Below are 23,596 nucleotides of genomic sequence, written 5' to 3' on the forward strand. Positions count from 1 at the left end.
AAGTCTTTTAATGTTCTGTCTTGTAATTCCTTTATATTATACCTTTTAGGTCTTGCCATTCAAATTAAACAAACCTGGTTTAGTTATGGAAATTATGTTGTGCAATTTATCGAGCTTGGCTTTTAGGGCAGTAAATGTGTCTGTAGACATAACTGCCCTTGGTTTCATGTGAAGATTGTCTTGATCTTTGTTACATATAAAGGTAATACTTCTGTATGAAGCTCTGCTTCAGGCTACCTGTGAAAAGCATCAGAAAGCTTAACTTGTTAGAGATCACAATTGATTTGCTATATCTATATATTTTAATTAATTTTAGGCTATGACTTCTTATGTACCTGAGCTTCAAAACAGTAAAGAACGGCATTGCCAGTTTTTAAGTTATCTATAGAGAAACACATATGCCAATAAATGAGGCTGAACAAATATGTATAATGTTTATTGCATTTATGTAAAACATCAAAGTTAATCTGACGTGGTGAGTTTTTTTTGGGAGGTGGTAGTTTAGCTCCATTGTCTTACATAAACCCCCTACTTTTTGGTTTTCAGATTATATCACAATTTCTAAAATCTTTCTGGCAGCTTTGCAGTGAATCCTCATTTAAAACCATCTTGGATCCTTTCCTTACTAGAAATAAAATCTGTCTGTGTTATTCCTTTGTTCAAAAATTATTATTTATTTTTATTTTTGAGACAGGATCTTGCTCTGTTGCCCAGGGTGGAGTGCAGTGGCACAATCATGACTCACTGCAGCCTCAACCTCCAGGGCAGAAGCGATCTATCCTCCTCCCTCAGTATCCCCAGTAACCGGGACCATGGTTGCATGCCACCATACTTGGCTAATTTTATTTTATTTTTTGTAGAGACAGGGCTCACTATGTTGCCTAGGCTGGTCTCAAACTCCTGGGCTCAAGTGATCCTCCCGCCTCGGCCTCCCAAAGTGCTGGGATTACAGGTGTAGGCCACCGCACCACGTCTGGCCTGTTCAAAAAGTATTATCTCACCTGCATCTGGAAGAATATTTCCAACTTTGGTTTCATGGGTATATTAAAATCGTATGTAAAAATAGTGGATATTTGTAGTTTTCTGTGGCGCCAGTGCACAGGTGTCCTCAGTGTTATGAGGATTACATGAGTTATTACAAGTAAATCATCTAGGCAAATGTTTGGCATACAGTAAGCACTCAGAAAGTGTTGGCTATTACTGTGCATGGCTTTGTCTTTGCTAAATTAAAAGTCCCTGGAGAGGAGGAATTATAATGGAGGAATGGTTGAATTGCATATATTAGGCACTAAATACAGTAGTCCCTCCTTATCTGAGGTTTTGATTTCTGCAGTTTCAGTTACCCATGATCAACCACAGTCTGAAAATATTAAGTAGAAAATTCCAGCCGGGTGCGGTGGCTCATGCCTGTAATTCCAGCACTTTGGGAGACCAAGGCGGGCAGATCACTTGAGGTCAGGAGTTTGAGACCAGCCTGGCCAACATGGTGAAACCCCATCTCTACTAATATACAAAAATTAGCCAGGCGTGGTGGCATGTGCCTGTAGTCCCAGCTAGTCAGGAGGCTGAGGCAGGAGAATCAATTGAACCCGGGAGGTGGAGGCTGCAGTGAGCCGAGATTGTGCCACTGTACTCCTGCGTGGGCAACAGAGCGAGACTCCATCTCAAAAAAAAAAAAAAAAATTCCAGAAATAATGCATACATTTTAAATAGCATGCCTTTCTGAGTTGTGATGAAATCTTATTCCATCCTATCCCATTCAGCCCGGGGCCATGAATCATCTCCTTGTTTAGCGTATCCCTGCTGTATAAGCTTCCTGCCTTTTAGTTGCTTGGTTATCAGATTGATGGAGGTGGTATCACAGTGCGTGTGTTCTAGGAATACTTATTTTACTTAATTATTGCTTCAAAGCACAAGAGTAACGACGCTGGCAATTTGGTTATGCCAAAGAGTAGCTGTAAAGTGCCTCTTTTAAGCAAAAAAAGGAAAGTTCTCCACTTAATAAGGAAGAAAAGAAATCCTATGTTGATGTTGTTAAGAACTATGGTAAGAACAAATCTATCTGTAAAATTGTGAATAAGCAAAAAGAAATTTATGCTAGTTTTACTGTCACACCTCAAACTGCCAAACTTATAGCCATAGTGCATTATAAAAGCTTAGTTAAGATAAAAAAGGAATTAAATTTGTGGTTAGAAAATGTGAACAGAAGCATGCTCAGATTGAAGGCAGTTGGATTCAGCCTCCTCACGGGGCCTTGGGATATACACCCTTGGATAAGGAGAGGACTGCTATAAAAGGTTTTAGTATTAAGTTGGTATTGCATTTGTATCACCAGACCACTTTCTCCCCATTTTCTCTTTTTACTTTGTTGCTAGTGTTAATGATAGGGTTGATTTACATTACCTTTTACATTACCTACCTTTTTTCATTCACTGTTATTCACATATATTGAAAGACAATTGTTCTGCTTTTTTCCTCTTATCCTCAGCTAGCCTCCCTAACCTCAGGTAGAGGTTTTTCATGTTCCAGTGTTTGTCCTTTTTTTCTCCCCCCTTGTTTTTATTCCCTTCCCACATGGCTTTTCAATTCAGACTGAAATGTACTTGAGGACCAAAGTTAATACAGTTTTATTCTGTTAGGGATTTTTGTTAAATAAGTAGAGTTTCAGCTGCCCTTGTCACACACAAAAAATAAGATAGATGATAGGTGTTAATCTCCTTGACTAAAATAACCATTTTACTATCTGTGTGTATCCTATAATGTCAACTTGTAAACCTCAAATATACACATTAACATTTTTTAAAAAAAGAAGTTTCACCAAAAAAGACACTTCTATTTAATGTATGTCTTATTTCTTTTACCTTAAGAAATGTTTCTCTTAACCTTTCTCCATTTTCAACCCCATTTGTTTGCTCTTCTCTGCAACAAAAATCCTCTAAAGAGTTTTCTATGCTCCATGTTCCAATTCCTCTTTTTCTACCTCTGCATCTTCATTGGTATATTTAAAAGATATCTTGAACTCAGATGTCCCAGACCGAACTCCTTTCCTCCCAAACCTTTCCCATTCTTTCTCATCTGAATTGATGGCAACTTTATACAGCCAGTTGCTCAGTTAAATCTTTGGAGTCATCCTTGACTCCTTCCTTTCTCTTGTATTCCAACAAATCTGTTGGCTTTTTCTATGAAATATATCTAGAATTCAACAGTTTTCTACTATTTCTGCTATTAGTATACTGATCATCTCTTGCTCAGATTTTTGTTATTACCCACTATCATTTCTTGCCTGGATTATAGTAATTGTGTTCTGTTCTCTCTGCTTTTTTCAGTCCTTGCCTCCCTACAGTCTATTCTCATATGTCAGCCAGAGTGATACTTTTAAAATATAAATAAAAAATTGTGTATTTACATGTAAGATTCTAAATGCAATATGTTATGCTAGATTGGATCCTGAAACAGAAAGAGGTTATTAATGGAAAAACTGGTGAAATCCAAATAAAGTCTATGGTTTAGTTGATAGAAATGTATCAGTGTTGGTTTCCTGGTTTTGATAAATGCACCGTGGTAGTATAAGATGTTAATATTAGAAGAAATTGGGTGAGGGGTATATGAGAACTTTCTATTATCTTTGTAACCCTTCTGTAAATTCAGAATTATTTCAAAATAATATACAGAAGAATAAAACATTACTTTTTTGCTTAAAAACCTTTCGTGAATCATTTGATTCATAGTAGAAGCTAACAGCCTTACGTTGGCCTACAATAGTCTACATCAGTCTTGTCCAACTTACAGCTCACAGGCTGCCTGTGGCCTATGATGGCTTTGAATGCGGCCCACCACAAATTTGTAAACTTTCTTAAAACATTATGAGATTTTTTTTTTTTTGAGCCCTTTAGGTATCATTAGTGTTAGTGTATTTTATGTGTGGCCCAAGACAATTCTTCCTCCAGTGTGGCCTAAGGAAGTCAAAAGATTGGACACCTCTGCTCTACATGATCTGGTCTCCCATTACCTCTCTGACTACATGTCTTTGTATTCTCTCTCCCTTTGTTCCAGCCATACTTACCACCCTGTTTCTTAAGTACACTAGGCCTACTTCTACCACAGGGCCTTTGCACTGACTGCTGCTTCTTTCTAGAATGCTTTTGGATCCATACAGCTATTCCTTCATAGCTTTTACATGTTGTTCAAATGTCACCTTTGCAGTAAAGCATATCCCAACCTCCCTATTTAAATTGAAGCTTTGCAACTTCCATAGCCCCTACCCCTATCTCCTCCACCCTGTTTTATCTCCTCTTTTTACTTCAGCGCTTATCATTATTCTATATATGTATTACATATTTGTTACATGTATTTTTAATTGTGTTCCCCTATTAAAATGTAAAATCCATGAAGGCAGGCATTTTTATCTGTTTTGTTGTCTTATGCCACATTCTAAAGCATTTGTCTGAGGCATAGAAGTACTCAGTAGGTTTTGTTTGAATGAATGACTGACTTGATTGGGTGTTTGAATCTGTAATTTTTTTTTTTTTTTTTTTGAGATGGAGTCTTGCTCCGTTTCCCAGGCTGGAGTGCAGTGGCACAATCTCTACTCACTACAACCTCTGCCTCCTGGGTTCCAGCAATTCTCTCTTCTCAGCCTCCTGAGTAGCTGGGATTACAGGTGCATGCCACCATGCCCAGCAAATTTTTTGTATTTTTAGTACAGACGGGGTTTCACCATGTTGGCCAGACTGGTCTCGAACTCCTGACCTCGTGATCCACCCGCCTCAGCCTCCCAAAGTGCTGGGATTACAGGCATGAAGGTGCTGGGATTACAGGCATGAGCCACCGCATTTGACCATGAACCTGTAATTTTTGATTTGCAGTCTGAAACACTGAATTATTTATCACTTCCATGTATCATGCTATTTCTTGCCTCCAAGTTTTTACTCATGCAGACTCTTCTATTTGGAATGCCCTTCCTTATCTTTCTTCCTCTACCCCTAAGTTGTTTTCACCTGACCATTTCTCTTTAAAGATTCGTATAATATTAGATGTAACTCAAGGAAGCCTTCCCTAAAATGTCAGGCCAGGGTAAGTGCTGCTTTTCAGAGGAGCTCCCTTCCTACCTCTGCATTTTACAAACTTATATTATAATTCTGTTTGGGTGTCTCTATTTCAGTAGAGAGTTGCGAATGTGTCTTACTGATCTTTGGGATATCAAATCCTGGTACATAGGAAGTAATCAGTGAATGTTTTAATGCATTAATGGCATGATCAAGGACACTCAGCTATGAAGCATAGTTTTGATTCCAACCTGGGTCTTTTGAGTGTAAAATCAATGGCTTATTTGCTATACCTTGTTTCTTAGGAAAAAGATGGCTGTCTTTAAAATAATTGAAAGGTACTGTATCCTTTTGATACAAGTAGGAGGGAGTTAATGCATTGTATAGCCCTGGACAATTTGCTCCTTGTTATTGCGGAAGCTGCCAGCCCTGATGAAAGTGAGTTGTGCCTTTTTCTAAGGCATTGGCTGAAATCATTGATCAGGGTTCAATTGCAGACAGCAAATTTTTAATGTTGATGAAATTAGGCACTTTTGGGGAGGAAAACATTCTTGAGATTTGTGTTGCCAAAAAGAAGAAATACTTGCCAAAGAAGAAATACATGCCAAAATTCCAAACTGTTCATGAGGCATTTATGTTTTTGCTAGATGCCATTACTACCAGTAACTTCATGTTACATTAAACTTGTGTACCATTGGGAAATCCCAGAGTGTTTAAAGATGTTGCAAAGATTTTCTTTCAGCAGTACCGAAATTTGCTCTTAAGATTGATTTAATTATGATTAGTTTGTTAACAGTATCTCTGACACGTAGCACAAAATTAGGTAAACTAATTTTGCGTTTAAAATACTGTTTGTTTAATCCTAGATAATGAGCTAGACTTCCCAACTACTCTTTATGATTGGCATCCTGAGTTCAAACTGCCTTCTGAATATTATCATTATTGTCGCAGCCTATAAACTAAAGCAGTTTTATCTTCACCTAGCCCTTAAGACTAACAAAAAAGGAAATCGATTAGCTCTATAGATTCTGAAAAGGCTTCCACATTAGTAATGTCGTTGCAAATGATAATTAGGCTTGAGATTAAGTAATCAAAAACAAATATTACCTGGAGGACATTGTATCCTGAATTTGTGTTCATTTCCATAGCTTTGCTAATCCTACAGAAGTGACTAAAATGTTGAAGTAAGCAAAGAGTTCAATCTGGTCTTGTGTGAGAGAATGCTATTAACTTACTTCTAATTTTACCTGAGCAGTGAATGAGAATTTTATTGGATAAAGAAGGAACTTGCTCATTTGAAACAGAAGCACATGGCTGCTAAGAAATGAGATGCAGCCATTGTTGAAACCTGTCAAAGTCTTGACAGTATAAATATTGACATGCTGAGACATGTCAATATTTACCATAGAATTTGGAAGTTGCCAAGTTCCTGTTTAAGAAATGTGACCCTAGCATTGGACACAGTATATCAATAAATACGGAACATGTCCAAATGAACAGCTGCTCAGGGAAAATAAAATTACATCTGTCTAAACGTTGGGGCACTTAAAAAGTTAAAGTTTAAATGTTTATGATTTTTTTTGTAATTTTTAGGTAGATGCTTGTATGATATAGTATACTAATAGAGTTCCATGTATGGGTTTAACATAAAATGACAGTATCATTGCTATTTATAAATTTGTAAATTAGCTGTGCTGTGATACTCATCTATAAATTGAATTTTAAAAACTTGCCAAGTGTTGTGTTTAGGAACTAACCCTTCATTTTCAACATTGTTCTTAAGGAGAAATTGGCTCATGATGACTTAGATATTAATTTGGGGAGACAAAAGTTTATACTCTGATAACTTCTTAAATGGCAACATAGAAAATAGAAGTTTTTGCACTTTAGATGTGATAAGGGAATATGACCTTGTTGTCATTATCTGACAAGCATGTCTCAGTAGAAAATCATATTATAGATCACCACTGTTAATTCCCATCTGAATATCACTGTATTTTAACAAAAAGCTTTTTGATGCAAAGTAGACATTTGAGCTTTTATATCAAGTCATTAGAACCACACAATCTTACATTGTTTTGCGGACTTCTAGAAGAAGTTTAAACTTAGCAATTCTTTGAACGACAGTCCTAAAACAATCTTAAGAACATAAAACATGGGTATCAGGACTTGTTTTCTCATTGCTTCTCCTTTCTAATGGTAGTGATAGGTGGCTTTTAAATAGTAATCTAATCATTTAACCAGTTCATAATATTGTATGAGTTCTTAGAAGAAATGAATGATTTATTAAGTCCATATAGTAGCGTACATTGTAATTAGCTATAGAGTTGACCCTTGAACAATATAGGGGTTAGGGATGCCAACCTCTCACGCAGTTGAAAATCCATGTATAACTTTTGGCTCCTTCAAAACTTAACTACTAATAGTTTATTGTTGACCAGAAGCCTCATCAATAACATAAACAGTTGATTAACATATGTTTTGTGTGTTATATGCATTATGTACTGTATTCTTACAATAAAGTAAGCTAGAAAAAAGTAAATGTTATTAAGAAAATCATAATGAAAGGAAAATATATTTACTATTCATTAAGTGGAAGTCGATCATCATAAAGGTCTTCATTCTTGTCTTCATGTTGAGCTGGCTGGGGCGGAAGAGGAAGAGAAGGATTGATCTTGCTGTCTCTGGGCTGGCAGAGGTGGCAGAGGTGGCAGAGGTAGAGGAGGTGGAAGAGGAGGCAGGAGAGGTGGACACAGTTGGTGTAACTTTTATTGAGAAACTTTAGAGTGTAAGTGGACCCACACAGAACAAACCTTCAGTTGTTCAGCGATCAACTGTGTATGTGCCTTAATTTAATTTCTCAGTTTTTATCTAGTTTTTTTTTTCAAAAACAGTTTTCTAAGACATTGGCTGGTTCTCTCTCTTTCTCATTTTGTCCTGAGTCAAAGAAATCCCTTAGATATTAAATCAGACATACCTGAACTGAATGTTCGTACCTAAATGCCTAACCATGATCTTTATGTTCTTGAATGTTCTAATTTGGTTGAATTTTTTTGGCCATCAGCTAAATAGATATCTCTGTTTTATATAACCTCTAAACAAGGTTTAATTAAAAAATCAGGCATTTCTAGGCCAGGAGTGGTGGCTCACACCTGTAATTCCAGCACTTTGGGAGGCCAAAGCAGGTGGATCACCAGAGGTCAGAATTTCAAGTCCAGCCTGGCCAACCTGGTGAAACCCCATCTCTACCAAAAATACAAAAATTAGCCGGGAGTGGTGGTGCATGCCTGTAATCTCAGCTACTCGGGAGGCTGAGACATGAGAATTGCTTGAACCTGGGAGGCAGAGGTTGCAGTGAGCTGAGATTGCGCCACTGCACTCCAGCCTGGGCAACAGAGTGAGACCCTGTCTCCAAAAAAATAAAAAATAAAAAGACATTTCTAAATAACAACAGCCCTATAAAATTTGTCCTGGTTGGCTGAGCACAGTGGCTCACACTTGTAATCCCAGCACTTTGGGAGGCCGAGGCAGGTAGATCATTTGAGGTCAGGCGTTTGAGACCAGCATGGCCAACATAGTGAAACCCCATCTCTACTAAAAATACAAAAATCAGCCAGGCGTGGTGGTGCATGCCTGTAATCCCAGCTACTCAGTAGGCTGAGGCAGGGGAATCACTTGAGCCTGAGAGGTAGAGGTTGCAGTGAGCCGAGATGGTGCCACTGTACTCCAGTCTGGGTGACAGAGTGAGACCCTGTGTCAAAAAAAAAAAATTTTTTTTTTCCTGGTCATAGCGTGTTCATTGTTTCAGCAAGCAAGATGTCATACTAAAATACACAAAAAAATTAATACAATCTTATCTTTGAAAATTTAGTAATTTACTCTTTTTTTGGTGTATGTCTCTTCTTTATTTGGTTTGGAGCTACATGCCTTGTTAAAATGAAAAGCATGTACCTCATTTTTCTGGATATTTTGTATTTCTGATGTTTCACTGGGCAGTCTTGTACCTTGGCCAAAGTGGAATATTTATGCAGGCAGAATTGAATTTAATAATATACATTTCAATTGTTAAGGAAAAATAATTTTCAAGGCATTGGAATTGTATTGTCGTTGCTACTGGTGAATCTACTAGTTGATTGTTGGTATTTCATTTTCTGAACATTGGATTCCTCAGGCAAACCTTCTCTTATACCTCTTATTTTTGTTTATATTGGTCCTGTAATTTTTTTACCTTAGAAAATGCAGCATCTTTTTATGTCATTTAGCAGGTATTTGATGTATCTTGTCATTATTTTATTACTACTTTAACTCTGCTGTAGCAAAATTCTATACTACCTTGTATATATTTACTTATTTTTTAAATAACTAACAAGTTTAATTATAATTTATATAGAACTCTGTATTGTCATGTTCTCCTAAGTGGATGAAAAGTTTCTGGAGAGAAAGTGTCATTACTTTTTTTTTCTGATCTGCTAGAGTTCTCATTGAACACAAAGTTTGCACATACTGCTTCCTTAATGAATGACTGGTAGATGGAGTGGAATTTTTACAACTGACGTTCTGCAGGTTGATTTCAGTTCGTTATTTCAACTTAATGGGAAATTTTTAAAACATATTAAGTGACTATGAAACTAACTTGACTGAATAGCTTTTCAGATCAGCATTTTAAATTTTGCTGTGCAGAATTGCTTCTCTTGCACAAAGTAGTGTGGCTTCATTTGTTAATAAACATTTCATTAATTCTTTTGGGGAAGTGTTTGATTAAAAATAAATTTTTTTTTCTAAGACATGTAACATTCCCAGCTTCTCCCTAATAAGAAAATTATTCATGATAGTTCTGTAGTTTGAAGATTGTTGATGCATATAACATTTCCAACTTCCTTCTAATAAGATAATCATTCTTGATTGTTCTGAAGTTTAAAGATTATTGATAATTTGACTTCATTTTCACTTCATTGTACTTTATAGGCAGGAACATGTTTGATTTAGTGCTATTTCAGAATCCTTTGAAGAAGTCTGACAATCTTTTTAGGATTTTGTTTCAAAATTGATATTAAGTTGTAGCCATAAAGAGGCCACCAATTGATTAATCTTTCTGATCAATAAGGTAATTTAAAGATACTCTTTTAGCTGTGTGACCTTGTTTCACTGCTGCCTGCTGGAGGTGGTTGCCAATTTTGCAGGTAACTAAGTGCTATCAGACACTACCCTTGTAGAAGCACAGCCTCCTAAATTGTGATACCTTGATAACAAATGACTTCTAATCTGGATTAATTTTGTTGCTTGCTTCATTCAAATGTTGGAGAGGCCAGCACATGGGAATCTAACAGAATAGTACTAGAATTCTGAAACTATCAAAGTTCCATTTCTATCAGCCACTAGGTGAGCTTTCTGCTGAGTGATTCAGTGTATGTAATTCAGCTCCAGGCCCTTTCCATCAGGAGAAGAACTGGCAGAGAATCTGCTAAGCATGATTATCCCAATATCCTTCCTATATTAAACCCTCTTTTTTTCCCCCAGTGGGGGAATAAGATAATTGACTTGGGATCCTTGGAGGCCAATCATAACTCCAATTCTCTAACACCAAGTGGGTATTCAACAATTCAGTACAATTCAAACACCATCTATCTAGGGTTAGTGTCAGATCCCACAGGTTTGTGGGCTCAGTCTCACAAAATTGCCTCCACTTCAGATGCCAGTCACAAGTCCTGAGTCACCTATACTTTTGACCAACCAGTTATAAATCAAGGTTTCCCTTGATTTATGCCTCACGAATAATTTTCTTATTAGGGAGAAGCTGGGAATGTTACATGTCTTAGAAAAAAAAATTATTTTTAATCAAACACTTCCCCAAAAGAATTAATGAAATGTTTATTAACAAATGAAGCCACACTACTTTGTGCAAGAGAAGCAATTCTGCCTCAGGTTTGATAATTTGCTATAATGGGTCACAGAAATCAGAAAAATATTTTATTTACCTTTACTGGTTTAGTACAAAAGATAGAACTTAGGAACAGCCAAATGAGAGAGGACACATAGGGAAAGTTATGGTGGCAGGGGAACAGGACTTCAATGCCCTTCTGTGGACATGCCACCTTTTAGCACCATGATGTGTTCACCAAGCAGGAAGCTGTTCACATCTCCTTGTTCAAGAGTTTTGTTTTTTTGAGACAGGGTTTCACTCTGTCACCCAGGTTGGAGTGCAGGTAGCACAATCATAGCTCACTGTAATGTCAAAGGCCTGGGCTCAAGTGATCCTCCTTCCTAAGCCTCCTGATATGGTTTGGCTGTTTCCCCATGTAAATCTGATCTTGAATTCCCACGTGTTGTGGGAGAGACCCAGTGGGAGGTAATTGAATCATGGGGGCAGTTCTTTTTCATGCTTTTCTCATGATAGTGAATAAATCTCACGAGATCTGATGGTTTTATAAGGTGGTGGGGTTGGGGGGGGCTCCCTGCACAAGCTCTGTCTCATTGCCTGCTGCCATCCATGTAAGACATGAATTGCTCCTCCATGCCTTCTGCCATGATTATGAGACCGCCTCAGCCATGTGGAACTGTAAGTCCATTAAACTGTTTTTTTCCATATAAATTACTGAATCTCAGGTATGTCTATCAGCAGTGTGAAAATGGACTTATAAACCTCCCAATTCAAATTTTTATAGAGCTCAATCTCCTGGTCTGGGTGCATGGGAGGAATGGAGGGTAGGGAGGAGGGTCTGAAAATCCCAGCCTACTAATCACTTGGTGTTTCTGGTGACCAGCTCCATCCTGAGGCTGTCTAGAGGCCCCACTGTAAGTCACTTCATTATTATAAACTCAGGTGTAATTGAAAGCTGTTCCTTATGAGTAACAAAAACATTCCTATCACTCAGGAAATTTCAAGGGTTTTGCCAACTCTGTGCGAGGAGCAGGGGACAAAGTTCAAACATATTTCTTATAATATCACACACACTCATTATTTTTTGTTTGTTAAATTTTATTTATATTATATATTATGTTATGGTTGTTTATATTTATGGGGTACAAAGTGATATTATGATTTTGAATGCAATGCAGAATGGTTAAATTAAGCTAATTAACATATCTATCCCCTGAAGTATTTAACATTGTTTATTTGTGGCAATATTGAAATGTACAGTACTCAATTGTTAGCTATGTTCAGCATGCTGTACAATTGATCTAAAATAGAAAAGTCAGACTTATTTCTCATATATAACTGAGGCTTTATACTCTTTTGACTGTTGTGTTAGCCTGTTTTCACACTGCTATGAGGAACTGCCTAAGACTAGGTAAATTATAAGGAAAAGAGGTTTAATTGACCCACAGTTCTGCATGGCTGTGGAGGCCTCAGGAAACTTACAATCATGGCAGAAGGAAAAGCAGGCAGGCATATCTTACATGGTGGCAGGTGAGAGAGAAGAGTGAAATGGGAACTGCCAAACTATTAAAACCATCAGCTCTTGTGATAACTCACTCCACTATTATGAGAACAGCATGGGGGAAGTCGTCCCTGTGATCCAATCACCTCCCACCAGGTCCTAGGTCAACATCTGGGGATTACAATTCGAGATGAGATTTGGGTGGGGACACAGCCAAACCATATCAACTGCCCATCCTCCCTACCACCCAGCCTCTGGTAACCACCATTCTACTCTCTGCTTCTGTGAGTTCAATTAATTTAGATTATACATATAAGTGAGAACTGTGGCATTTGTCTTTCTGTGCCTTGCCTATTTCACTTAGGGTAATGTCCTCCAATTCCGTCTGTGATGTCACAAATTACAAAGTTATTTTTATTTTTTAAAGCCTGAATAGTGTTCCATTGTGTGTAGATGAATTTTTTGGTATTCATTTATCCTCTGATAGACATTTAGGTTTATTCCATTATTTGGCTATTGTCTAGTGCTGCAGTGAATATGAGACTACAGATGTCTCTTCCACATTCTGATTTTAAAACTTTCAGGTAAATACTCAGAAGTGGGATTGCTGGATCATATAGTAATTCTATTTTTAGTTTTTTGAGGATCCTCCATACTGTTTCCCGTAATGGTTATGCTAATTTATGTTCCTACCAACAGGATACAAAGGTTCCCTTTTTCTCCACCTTCTTGCAAGTGTTTGTTGTTTTTGTTGATAGTGGCCATTCTCACAGATAGGAGGTGATATCTAATTGTGATTTTAATTTCTATCTCCCTAATGATTAGTGATGGTGAGCGTTTTTTCAAGTATCTATCAGTTATTCAGATGTATTCTTTTGACAAATACCTATTCAGGTCAATAGCTCACGTTTTTATTGGATTATCTGTTTTGTTTCTATAGAGCTGTTTGATTTCCTCTTATACTTTGGATATTAGCCCTTTACCAAATATATGGACTGCAGATATTTTCTTAATTCTGTAGGTTGTCTTTTTACTCTGCTAATTGTTTCCTTTGATGTGCAGAAGCTTTCTAGTTTGATGTAATCTCATTTGTCTATCTTTGCTTTTGTTTCCTATGCTTTTAATGTCAAATCCATTTTAATGTCAAATAACAAAAAAGTTATGAAAGCACAGAACCTAGTGGTATAAGTAATACTGATCAACATTCAGAATATTTTTAGGATGGTAATGGTGGTGTGTAGAGTAATTTTATTCTTAGTACAGGGTTAAAGGACAAAATTATTAATTGCAACCACAGCTACAATAAACTTTCAAGGGATATATATATTATAATATGATGTAATTTAGACATTAGAAACATAAGATGGCTGGGTAAAGGTGTTGAGTTGTATTTAATCAATGTTAAGCTGCTATCAGGTTAAAATAGACAGAAGTGTAAGATATTCTTTGTAAGCCTCATGGTAGCCAAAAAGCAAAAATCTGTAGGAGATTCACAAAAAATAAAATTAGATTCAAAAGATTCAAGACATACCACACAGGAAACTATCAAACCACAAAGGAAAATTGCAAGAGATGAAGAAGGAAACAAAATATCTTCAAGAAAAAAAGACCCAATGATAGAAAATAATTAACAAAATGGCGAGAAAGTTAGTCCTTTCCTTACTTATCAACAATTATATTGAGTGTAAACGGATTATATTCTCCTATAAAAGACAAGGAGTAAATGAATGGACACACACACACACACACACACACACACAAGACCTAACTACATGCTACCTACAAGGAACTCACTGCACTTTTGAGGACACATATAGACTGAAAGTGAAGAAATGGAAAAAGATATTCTACACAAATGGTAACCAAAAATCAGCAGAAGTAGCAATACTTACAGCAGAAAATACTTTAAGTCAAAAGCTGTAAAAAGAAGAAAATGAAGGCATTATATAATGATAAAGTAGTCAGTTTGCCAAGAGGCTATAACAATTATAAATACATATGTACCCAGCAATGGAGCACCTAAATATATAAAGCAAACATTAAAGGGTGTACAGAGATAGACTGTAATACAATAACAGTAGAGAACTTCAATGCACCACTTTCAATAATGGACAGATAATGTCAGAAAATTAATAAGGCAATGTTAGACTTAAGCAACACTTTAAATGAAATGAACCGTAACAGACATATACAGAGTATTCCATCTTAACACCAACAGGATACACAATCTTCTCAAATGTACACAGATCATTTCTGGGATAGATTGTATGTTAGTTCACAAAGCACATCTTAGGAAGTTGAAGAAGACTGAAATCATATCACATATCTTTTCTGACCACAATTGTATGAAACTAGAAATCAATTACGGGAAGAATTTCAGAAAATTCAGAAGTATACTGAAATTAACAACATGCTCCTGAACAACCAATAGGTCAATTGAGGAATTAAAAGGGAAATTAAAAAATATCTTTAGACAAACAAAAATGAAAACACGGTATGCCAAAATTTATGGGATGTTGTAAAAGTTTTGCTTGTCTGGGAAAGTTTTTATTTCCTTCTTATTTTTGAAAGACATCTTTGCTGGGTAAAGTCTTCTTGGTTGGCAGCATTTTTTTACGCCCCATCCCCCGAGCAGTTTGAATATATCAGCCCACTCTCTCCTGGTCTGGGGTTTCTGCTAAGAAGTTTATTGTTATTTTTATTGGAACCCTTTTATGTGTGATTTCTTTATTATCTTTTGCTGTTTTCAGAATTTTTTCTTTCTCTTTAATTTTTGATAGTTTGATAATTACATGTTATCGTCAACTCCTCTTTGGTTTGAATTTGGTTGGAGATCTCCTTTCTTCATGTACCTGGATGTTGGCTTCCTTCTGATTAGGGAACTTTTCATTTGTTATTTCTTTAAATATGCATCTACCTACTTTGTTTTTCTACTTCTTAATTCCTATTATGTATAGGTTAGGTCTCTTGATGGTGCTCCATAATCCCCATAGGCTCCCCTCCCCTCCTTTCCCGTTCCCTCCCCTTCCCTCCCCTCCCCTCTCCTCCCCTTCCCTCCGCTCCCCTCTCTTCCCCTCCTTTCCCCTCCCCTCTCTTCCCCTCCTCTCCCCTCTTCTCCTCTCCCCTCTCCTCCCCTCTTCTTTCCTTTCCTCTTTTTCTTTTTTTCTTTGCTCCTCTGACTGATTTCAAATGTCCATCTAGAAGCTCACTGATTCTTTCTTCAGCTTCCTCAAGGCAGCTGTTCAAGCTTCCTATTTCATTTTTCAGTTTAGTCGTTGTATTCTTCATCTCCTGGATATTCATTTTTTAATTGTTTCTATTTCTTTGTCAAACTTTTCATTTTGTTCATGTATTTTCAAAATTTAATTTTCTATTTATATATTCTTGTGGTTAACTTTTTTTTTTTCCCAAAAGAGTTGAGGTTTCACTCTGTCTCCCAGGCTGGAGACTGGAGTGCAGTGACAAAATCATAGTTCACCATAGCTTTGAATTCCTGGGCACAAGGGATCCTCCTGCTTCAGCCTCCTGAGTTGCTGGAACTACAGGTGTGAGCCACCATGTGCTGCCCATTTAACTTTTTAATAAGGATTATTCTGAAATCTTTTTTTTTTTTTTTTTTTACCATTTTATGGATTCCATTTTCTTTGGGATTCATTGTTGGAGTTTTATTCATTTCTTTTGGAGGTGTCATGATTTCCTGAGTCTTTGTAATCCTGTGTCCTTGTGTTGGTGTTTGCACATTTGTGGAGACAACCACCTTTTCCAGCTTTTACAGGTGTTCGTTGGCAGGGATAGAACTTTACTATTTATTCTAGCCTATACTTCTGGAGGGGCCAGCTAGTAATAACCCTTAGCAGACACAGCTTGCTTTTAGGTTCTGTAGAAAGCTGGCCTGCTACCTTTGCTCTGAATTTTTTTGGGGTAGCTACATAGGTTCTCTTATCTGACAGGACCACCGTCTGAGCTCTGCAATCAGGCCGAGCTGCTGAATGGACACAGAAATTTCCTCTGATCAGCCTTGGCCACAGGGTGTATTCCTTTATTTGAGTTCAGCAGTTGGACAGGGTTGCAGGAGGGTCCTTGAGGTTAAGTGGATTGGGGTGGATGGACCAATTTTTATGTTCAATAGAAATGCTTATTAGAAATGATCAGTGGGGTAGGAAAGTAGGCTTTGAGGCTAGGGACCACTCTGGTTAAACTCCCTCCTATGTCAGAACAAGTGCCTGCCTGTTGTCAAAATCTGCTGAGGATCTGTTGTGGGATGGTGGAGGCTGGCAAGCCTGTCCCAGTTGCTCAGACTGGCTAGTCTTCTGGTAGTTCTCTACCTAGACAGGATTACTCCTGGACTGCAGCAGAGAGAGGCTGTAGCTAAGCAGAGGCCCTTCAGGATCTGCTGTGGATTGGAGGCTAACAAGTCTGTCCCAGTGCACAGATCATGAATCTCCTAGCAGATCTTTGTACTTGCAGGATAGTTCTTAAATTGCAGTGAGAGGGGCTGGAGCAGAGACTGGGCCCCTTCACAGTCTGCTGTGGGACAGGAGCTGGCAAGCCTATTCCGGTATTATTAAGATGGATGCTTCTTTCAGCAGTTCCCTGTCCAGGCAAGATAGTTCCCAGCAAGAGGATTGGAGCTGAGACTGAGCCCTTCCAGGATCTGCTGTGGGATGGAGGCAGACACACCCGTTGCAGTGGTTCAGACTTACACGAATCCCAGAAGTTCTTTGCATAGGTGGGATAGTTCCCTTACTGTGGCAGGGAGGGGTTGGAGCTGAGACTGAGCCCTGTCAGGATCTACTGTGGGATGGAGGCTGAGTCACCAAGCCTGCCTTGGTGACTCAGATATATGAGTCTCCCAGCAGTTCTCTACATGGGCAGGATATTTCCAGGGCTGCCGGACAGAAGTGCTGTAGCCAAGAAAGGTCCCCCTTGGGATCTGCTGTGGGATAGAGGGTGGCAATCCCATCCCAGTGGCTCAGATGGGTAAGTGTTTCTCTGGGTTTTTGTGTGACCAGTGATAAGCGGGAACCACAGATGAGGGGGGCTGGAGCTGAATTATAGGGTAACTTTTGGGTCCACTGCCAAGACTGATGTTGGTGGGCTGACCGGCCTTTGTGGGGCACTTGGGTGTGTAATTCCTCCAGGACCCCTTGGCAGGTGGTTTTGGTTGCAAAAGCCAAAGGGGGCTGAAGCCAAGCCGTTTGGGGAACAGGATTATTTCTGTGTTTGAACCCAGGAGCCCAATCTGTGTGTCCAGGTGCAAGTTTGTACCCTCAAAATGGCCTTCCTAAGTCTTGGGCTCCACTTGGGTTTTACAGCCTCCTACCTGAATCCCAAGACTCCTACAACAAGATTTTTGTTTGTGGATGGCTGCAGAATTCTTATTGTAGGTGTACACATATAATTTTGGAAACTTTATACCCAGTGTTTTGAAAAACAATATGAGCCAACATTTCAAAGCCAGTTGACTTCTACATAAAAATTGGCATTTGTCAGTTTCTTGAATAATCTGAATGACAGAACACTAAGGACCAATACTTACCCATAACAATCTGCTTTGCAGTGAGTAATGGCTACCACCTTTATATGGTACTTGTAGTTTCTAGTTTCCCACAGTCCCACTCGTCATGCAATGGATGCATATGACCTCACTCCTGATCTGCATGGCCCCTGGATATATTAGAACTTGTACCCTTACAAGAGAAAATAGAGCTTGACTTAAATTTTAGGTATAAATTTTAGTCCATTTTGAGAATGTATAACCCAAGGGTTATACTCAGAACAGAGTCTTGCTTATACTTTGGAACTTCCTCCTGCTGGAGTTGTCCAAAATGTATTCAGAGATGTGGTCAAAAATGACAGACTGAGAAATTGAAGCGTGGGAAATAAATATGTAATTACTCATCCAATTAGGAATGAAAGTGCTTATGTGCTATTTATAACTGTTACTATTATTTGAACTGTATGAAATTGTCATTTTTATAGGTTAAAAATTGTGAAATGTTGGTAATTTTATATAGTTCCTAAATAGTTTTGTATTGCTGAATTTGAGGATATGTTATAGGTTTTGTTTTTTTTTTTTTCCTCAGACTAAGTTGCTCAGTCCTATCACTTGTCATCTTGTTTGCCATTAAGAAATAGGCAGATAAATGGGTGCGGTTTTAAGTAAATGATGGGTTTGTGAGTGGGGGGAAAAAAGTACATTGTTTATAAGTCTTATTCCTTTTTCACACAAGTGCTTTTAGTTACATTTCAGTTCTGAAAAACACTTTTTTTTTTTAAGTAGAAAAGACTGTATATAAGCTTAATTGGTGATGTTTCATAGGAACACCCTCACTCTTTTGGAATTGAAATAAGAGAGGTGTCAAAAATTTTGAGGCTTAAGAAATCATAATTACTGAGTTCTTGTTGAAAAAGACTGCTGCTTAGTTAATGCTGTTTCAGGTACTATCTTATCTCTTCTCTTCAGTTCTGTTAAGTGTCATTCTCACGTGAAACTGCAATTAGAACTAAAGTGTTCTTGTGACAGTCTAGAAAGTTTCCAAAATGATAAGTGTACTCTCATCCTTTCTGCCAAGTTTATTTGTAATCAAGAGTGGCCGCTCAATGAATATGAAGGAAGTTATAGTCTTGGAACTTAGGGTCCAATTTTAAGAGCACTTTGGAGCTAGGTATTAAATAGTATGTGGGAAATTTGTTCATGCATTAGGTCATTTTATTGCTTTTTAATACCCACTTATAGTGTTAGAGTAGGAAAGGAGAGGAAGTGAAATTTATGTTTATCACTGAAACTAATGATTATTAATGGTATTTGTAAAAGATAAGCAGAGGAAATGAGAAGTAATATGATATTTGGAATGGCAGCAACTGGCATTCCACAGTCATGAGAGGTAATTAAGAATGGACTGTGACCTCAACCAAGAGGCCTTATTTTTCTAGACTTATTTTATAGTACTAATGCTCTGTTCCTAAAGCATCAGATTAATTTAATGTCTCCCTTATACATCAGCTGTATATTACAAGTTTTTGAATAAGATTATGTTAGCAGTTATAACTGTATTTTACTACCTTATGGTGACTAAACATTGTGGTTTGCCTGGAATTGAGAGATTTTCTAGGTCTTGGGACTTTGTTTGAAAATTAGGAAAATTCCAGGAATACCTGGACAGGTGGTTACCTTACTTTCAAAATTATTAAAATGGAGTTAATTCTCACATGATTAGAAGGGTATTTAGTAATCCTGTGAATTCTTTACACTTAATGTTTAGAAAAAAATCTAACTCAAAAATATTATTTTAGGAAAGCACTTTTTATGTAGAAGTGTTGCTGGGTATTTTTGTTTTAATTGCTTTGGAAATTTAAAGGCAAACTGACTTTGTGGTAGTTTTTTCAAAAAAAAAAATCTTAATTTACCCTTTGGTAACACTAACCAGCAAGTTGGCAGGCTATTAATAATGAAAATACTAGCAATAAATTATTCAGTAAAAAAAATCTTTAATGTGGGGAGTGGGTATTCTGATAAAAAAGGAAAATGCAAATAGTCAGTGCTTTTAAAAAATACTAAACAAGAAATAATCCTTTTCTTTGCACTTAGTTTTCCTAAATTGTTGTGTGATTGTCTCAGAAGTGAATAGCCTAGTGTAGTTTCATAAACCTTTCTTTCCTTTTTTCTAGCAATTATATATGTTCCTGTCTTTGAATTTTTATAATGTGATAAGACTTTAAAACAATCTGTGACCACACTTTTGGTTTGCAATTTAAATTTTCTCTTTTAAGAATAAAAATAATAAGGTCAAACAAAATAATGTAACCAGGAAACTAATTACAGACTATTAACAGCATATGCTGTGTGCTAATCTTTATTCTGAACTCACTTTAGGTATCAGCCTACTTTTCTCAACAAGGGGGCACTTAAGTTAATTGCTTCATTAGAAACATGCATTTAGCACTTTCTGATCTGTAAGTACAACTCTTTGGCAGAGCTGCAGAAGTTTGAACACCTGCAGCCCAAGCAGCTTAAAAAGAAGTCATAATTTACTATAAAGGAAAATAAAAGAAGCTCAAGTTCAAAATGGTGTTATCAATGATATAGTGTTGTAACTAACTTGAGCTGACCTAAAAGAGAGAGTTGGCTTCTGCACTGCTCCTTATCAGCATCCAAAAGGGCATACAAAATTCTTTGTAAACTAATTTAAAAAGTGTCTTGTTTATTCAGAAGCAACTGTGAATGGTATTTGTTCAGACCTTAGATCACATCAATTGCATACCAGCCAACAACTTATTTCTCTTCTAAGAGAGAGGCCAAGTATCAAAGACACAAAGTACTAAAGATAAGCTTCTCAATTCTCAATTGTTCTGAACTCTCAATAAAGCTACTGATGTACAAATTGGGGTGGGACCCAACTGTTTCCACCTGCAGGCTTGTCTTAGATCCTTGGCTCTGGCTGGGAGAGGTGCTGATACTAATGTGACCTTTAGTGCCCTTGGAAAACAAAACACAGGCTTTCTTATAGCCCTAATCAATCAGTCCCTCTGAAGAGGATTCCACCCCGTTTCTTCAAGTAGTCTTGGGGCAAAAAACTATGGCTGACTATTCCCATTTACAGGGCTGGTGAAAGCAAAGAGATCGTTCATTTGCTCTTACTGAATCTTAAAAGACATTCCAAGTCATCTTTTTTTCTGTTTCCATGGGTGATTCTTACTAGATGTTTTGTATTTGATATTTTGTAAGACGGTGATCTCAGTAAGTAAAAGAATGAAGTGCTTTCAAACCTCATTCAAATAGTATGGTATTAGGAAATTAAGACTTATTTGATATAAAGAACATTTCTGAGACTGCTGAGGCACAAACAAGTTACTTGTAGGATACTATGTTGTCACTTATGGGCTATTAATGTTAATTGCTTAAATGTGGTTCACAGGTAGTCTCCAAAGGTTCAAATGTGAGTTTACTAAATAATAGAATCTTTAAAATAAAATCATATAATTTTTGTCATGAGTACCTAGAATTAGAAAATTGGAAAATATTTGAAACATGAATAATTCAAAGATGTTCTTAAAACTGATCCCCAGATGTCTTTTTAACATCATTGAGATTAAAGCCCTTTATATTATTGTGAAAGTAGAAGGAGTTACTGAAAGGCATCTGGAATATTGAATTTTAAACAAAATTTTCTCTGTAATTAGAAATTTGTCACTTGGTTCAAATATGGCTTTAAAAAAAAGCAATGAAACCAATTGCTATTTCACAGTAATTATAAGTGCTGTATTTTCCTTTCACAAAATTATATTAATGGTAACAATAGCCATGGTTCTTAAGGTAAGTTTAAGACAAAATAATCTGTATAAGTATGTGTGCATCTGTGTATGTTTGTATGGAAATACTATAGAGGCAAAAAATGCTATGCCACAAGTAGTTCCTACACCCTCCCATGCACCCCACCCCCAAAATTGTGGGTTTTGAGCCAATTAGAATTATGTAAGCCTTGAACTATATGTCTTTTTCAATGATTGGCATAGAAAAACAGTAACAGATTTTCCAGTAATTTTCAAATTTAAGGATTACAGAGCATGTGAGTAATTTACTGCACATTAAATGTATTGACTAATTGATCTAAAAGAAAATATTCACAAATGGATAAAGCATTTCAGAATTAAGCACATCTAGGCAAAGGACCTTATTGTAGGAGAAAATTTTGACTAAATGGAATATTTAAAAATTATTTTTTCTGTGATTATCGTATCAAACCTACAAACTTAAATATATTTAAAAATTTTACATGCCTAATTGATGGGGCTATAAGGATTACTTTATAATGTTTTTTTAAAGGATCATCTAATGAGAGATTCATGCTATGTGATTAAATAATAGTTGTAATGTTTTCATGTTGGAAGTTTGTGCTTTGTTCCTGATTCTGACTTTTTATAATGTTTTCTCTTTGCATATTTATAATTTTTATGTTATTTCTCTAGTTTTGTTTATTAGCTTCTACGGTATAAGCATCTTTTAATGAAGCTCACAAAATCAATTTTACAGTATCAGGCGTTACAGTATTAGAACAAATATAGGTATTTGCTTGAACTAAGTAATATGTGTCATTTTACAGTCTGATAAATTTGAAGTCAATCTGGGCAAGATTCTAGAGTGATTTACCAGAAGAATTGCTTTTGGATTAAAAGAAAAAGAACCTATCATTGTTACAAATAAGAGTAGGATCACTAATTAACAGTTTTAATTTCTTTTTTTTTTGTTGTTGTTCTTTTAAATAGTGTTGATAGGCTGGTAGAGTGGATAGATTTTGCCAAGGATTCTTCTTACATTCTTGTGACTTGGAAATATAAGTGGTGTTCCCACATAGTGTTGATGATTGATGTCTACTTGAGGGTGTTTCTAATGGCAGACTATACAGGTCTATGCCTGAGCTTGTCCTGCTCAACATTTTATGTGCATGACTTGAATACTTAGAAGAAGAAGTTTATCAGATTTCTAGATGACAAGGTCAGAGAGATAATAAACATGTTGGGTCACAGGAACAGAATCACTATTCAACGTAACCTTAACAAGCCAATATAAAACATAAAATTGAACCTCAGCAAACACATCAGACAACATCAACAAAAATTACAAACAAAGGATAGAGTAAAAGTGACTTAGTAATAACATACATAGAAAAACAACTAAACAAGGTTTAGTTGATATTAAACTCAAATAGGAATTTTTAGAATGATGTAGCTGCCAAAAACATAACAAAATACCCTCAACACAACCCCTATCACTCTCACTATCACTAAAAACAATAATTAAAACTGAATGTGATATTTCCTTGAAATTATAGAAGTGCAGTATTTAGGATGAAGTAATAGTCTTTGTCTATTTTTTAATTGTTTATAATACAACTAGACTACCAGTTGGGACTCAGTGAACTATGCTTTGAGTGGCAGAGATTAACTGTAGAGAATTTTGTGGAGATTAATCAAACTAGTGAGGGTATCAGAAATCATCTTATAAGAACTGTTTTGACTGCAAGCATATAGTCTTAAGAAGAGGCCTGTCGTGTGTAAGAGGATTTATACTTAATCTGTATGGACCCTACTGGTATTACTAGGAAAAATGGGTAGAATTCAAGGGTGACAGATCTGAAATAATTTTAAATAAATCCAAGGACAAGTATTTGT

The 23,596-nt window shown here is 36.7% G+C and overlaps 1 protein-coding gene across 13 annotated transcripts in view; it reads left to right on the forward strand.

Moving 5' to 3' along the window:
* Positions 1-23,596, forward strand: part of XRCC4 (X-ray repair cross complementing 4) — a 296,927-nt gene that overhangs the window by 1,313 nt on the left and 272,018 nt on the right. For 2 of the 13 annotated variants that reach the window (XM_011543626.2, XM_047417694.1), the window contains exon 1: positions 17,292-17,404. The exons of the other annotated variants lie outside the window; for them this stretch is intronic. The gene's annotated coding sequence lies outside the window, so the exon portion shown is untranslated. Of the gene's footprint in view, positions 1-17,291; positions 17,405-23,596 lie in introns of those variants that run through there. 13 annotated transcript variants of the gene reach the window in all.

Source organism: Homo sapiens, chromosome 5 (genome assembly GCF_000001405.40).
Source record: "Homo sapiens chromosome 5, GRCh38.p14 Primary Assembly".
NCBI lineage: Eukaryota > Metazoa > Chordata > Mammalia > Primates > Hominidae > Homo > Homo sapiens.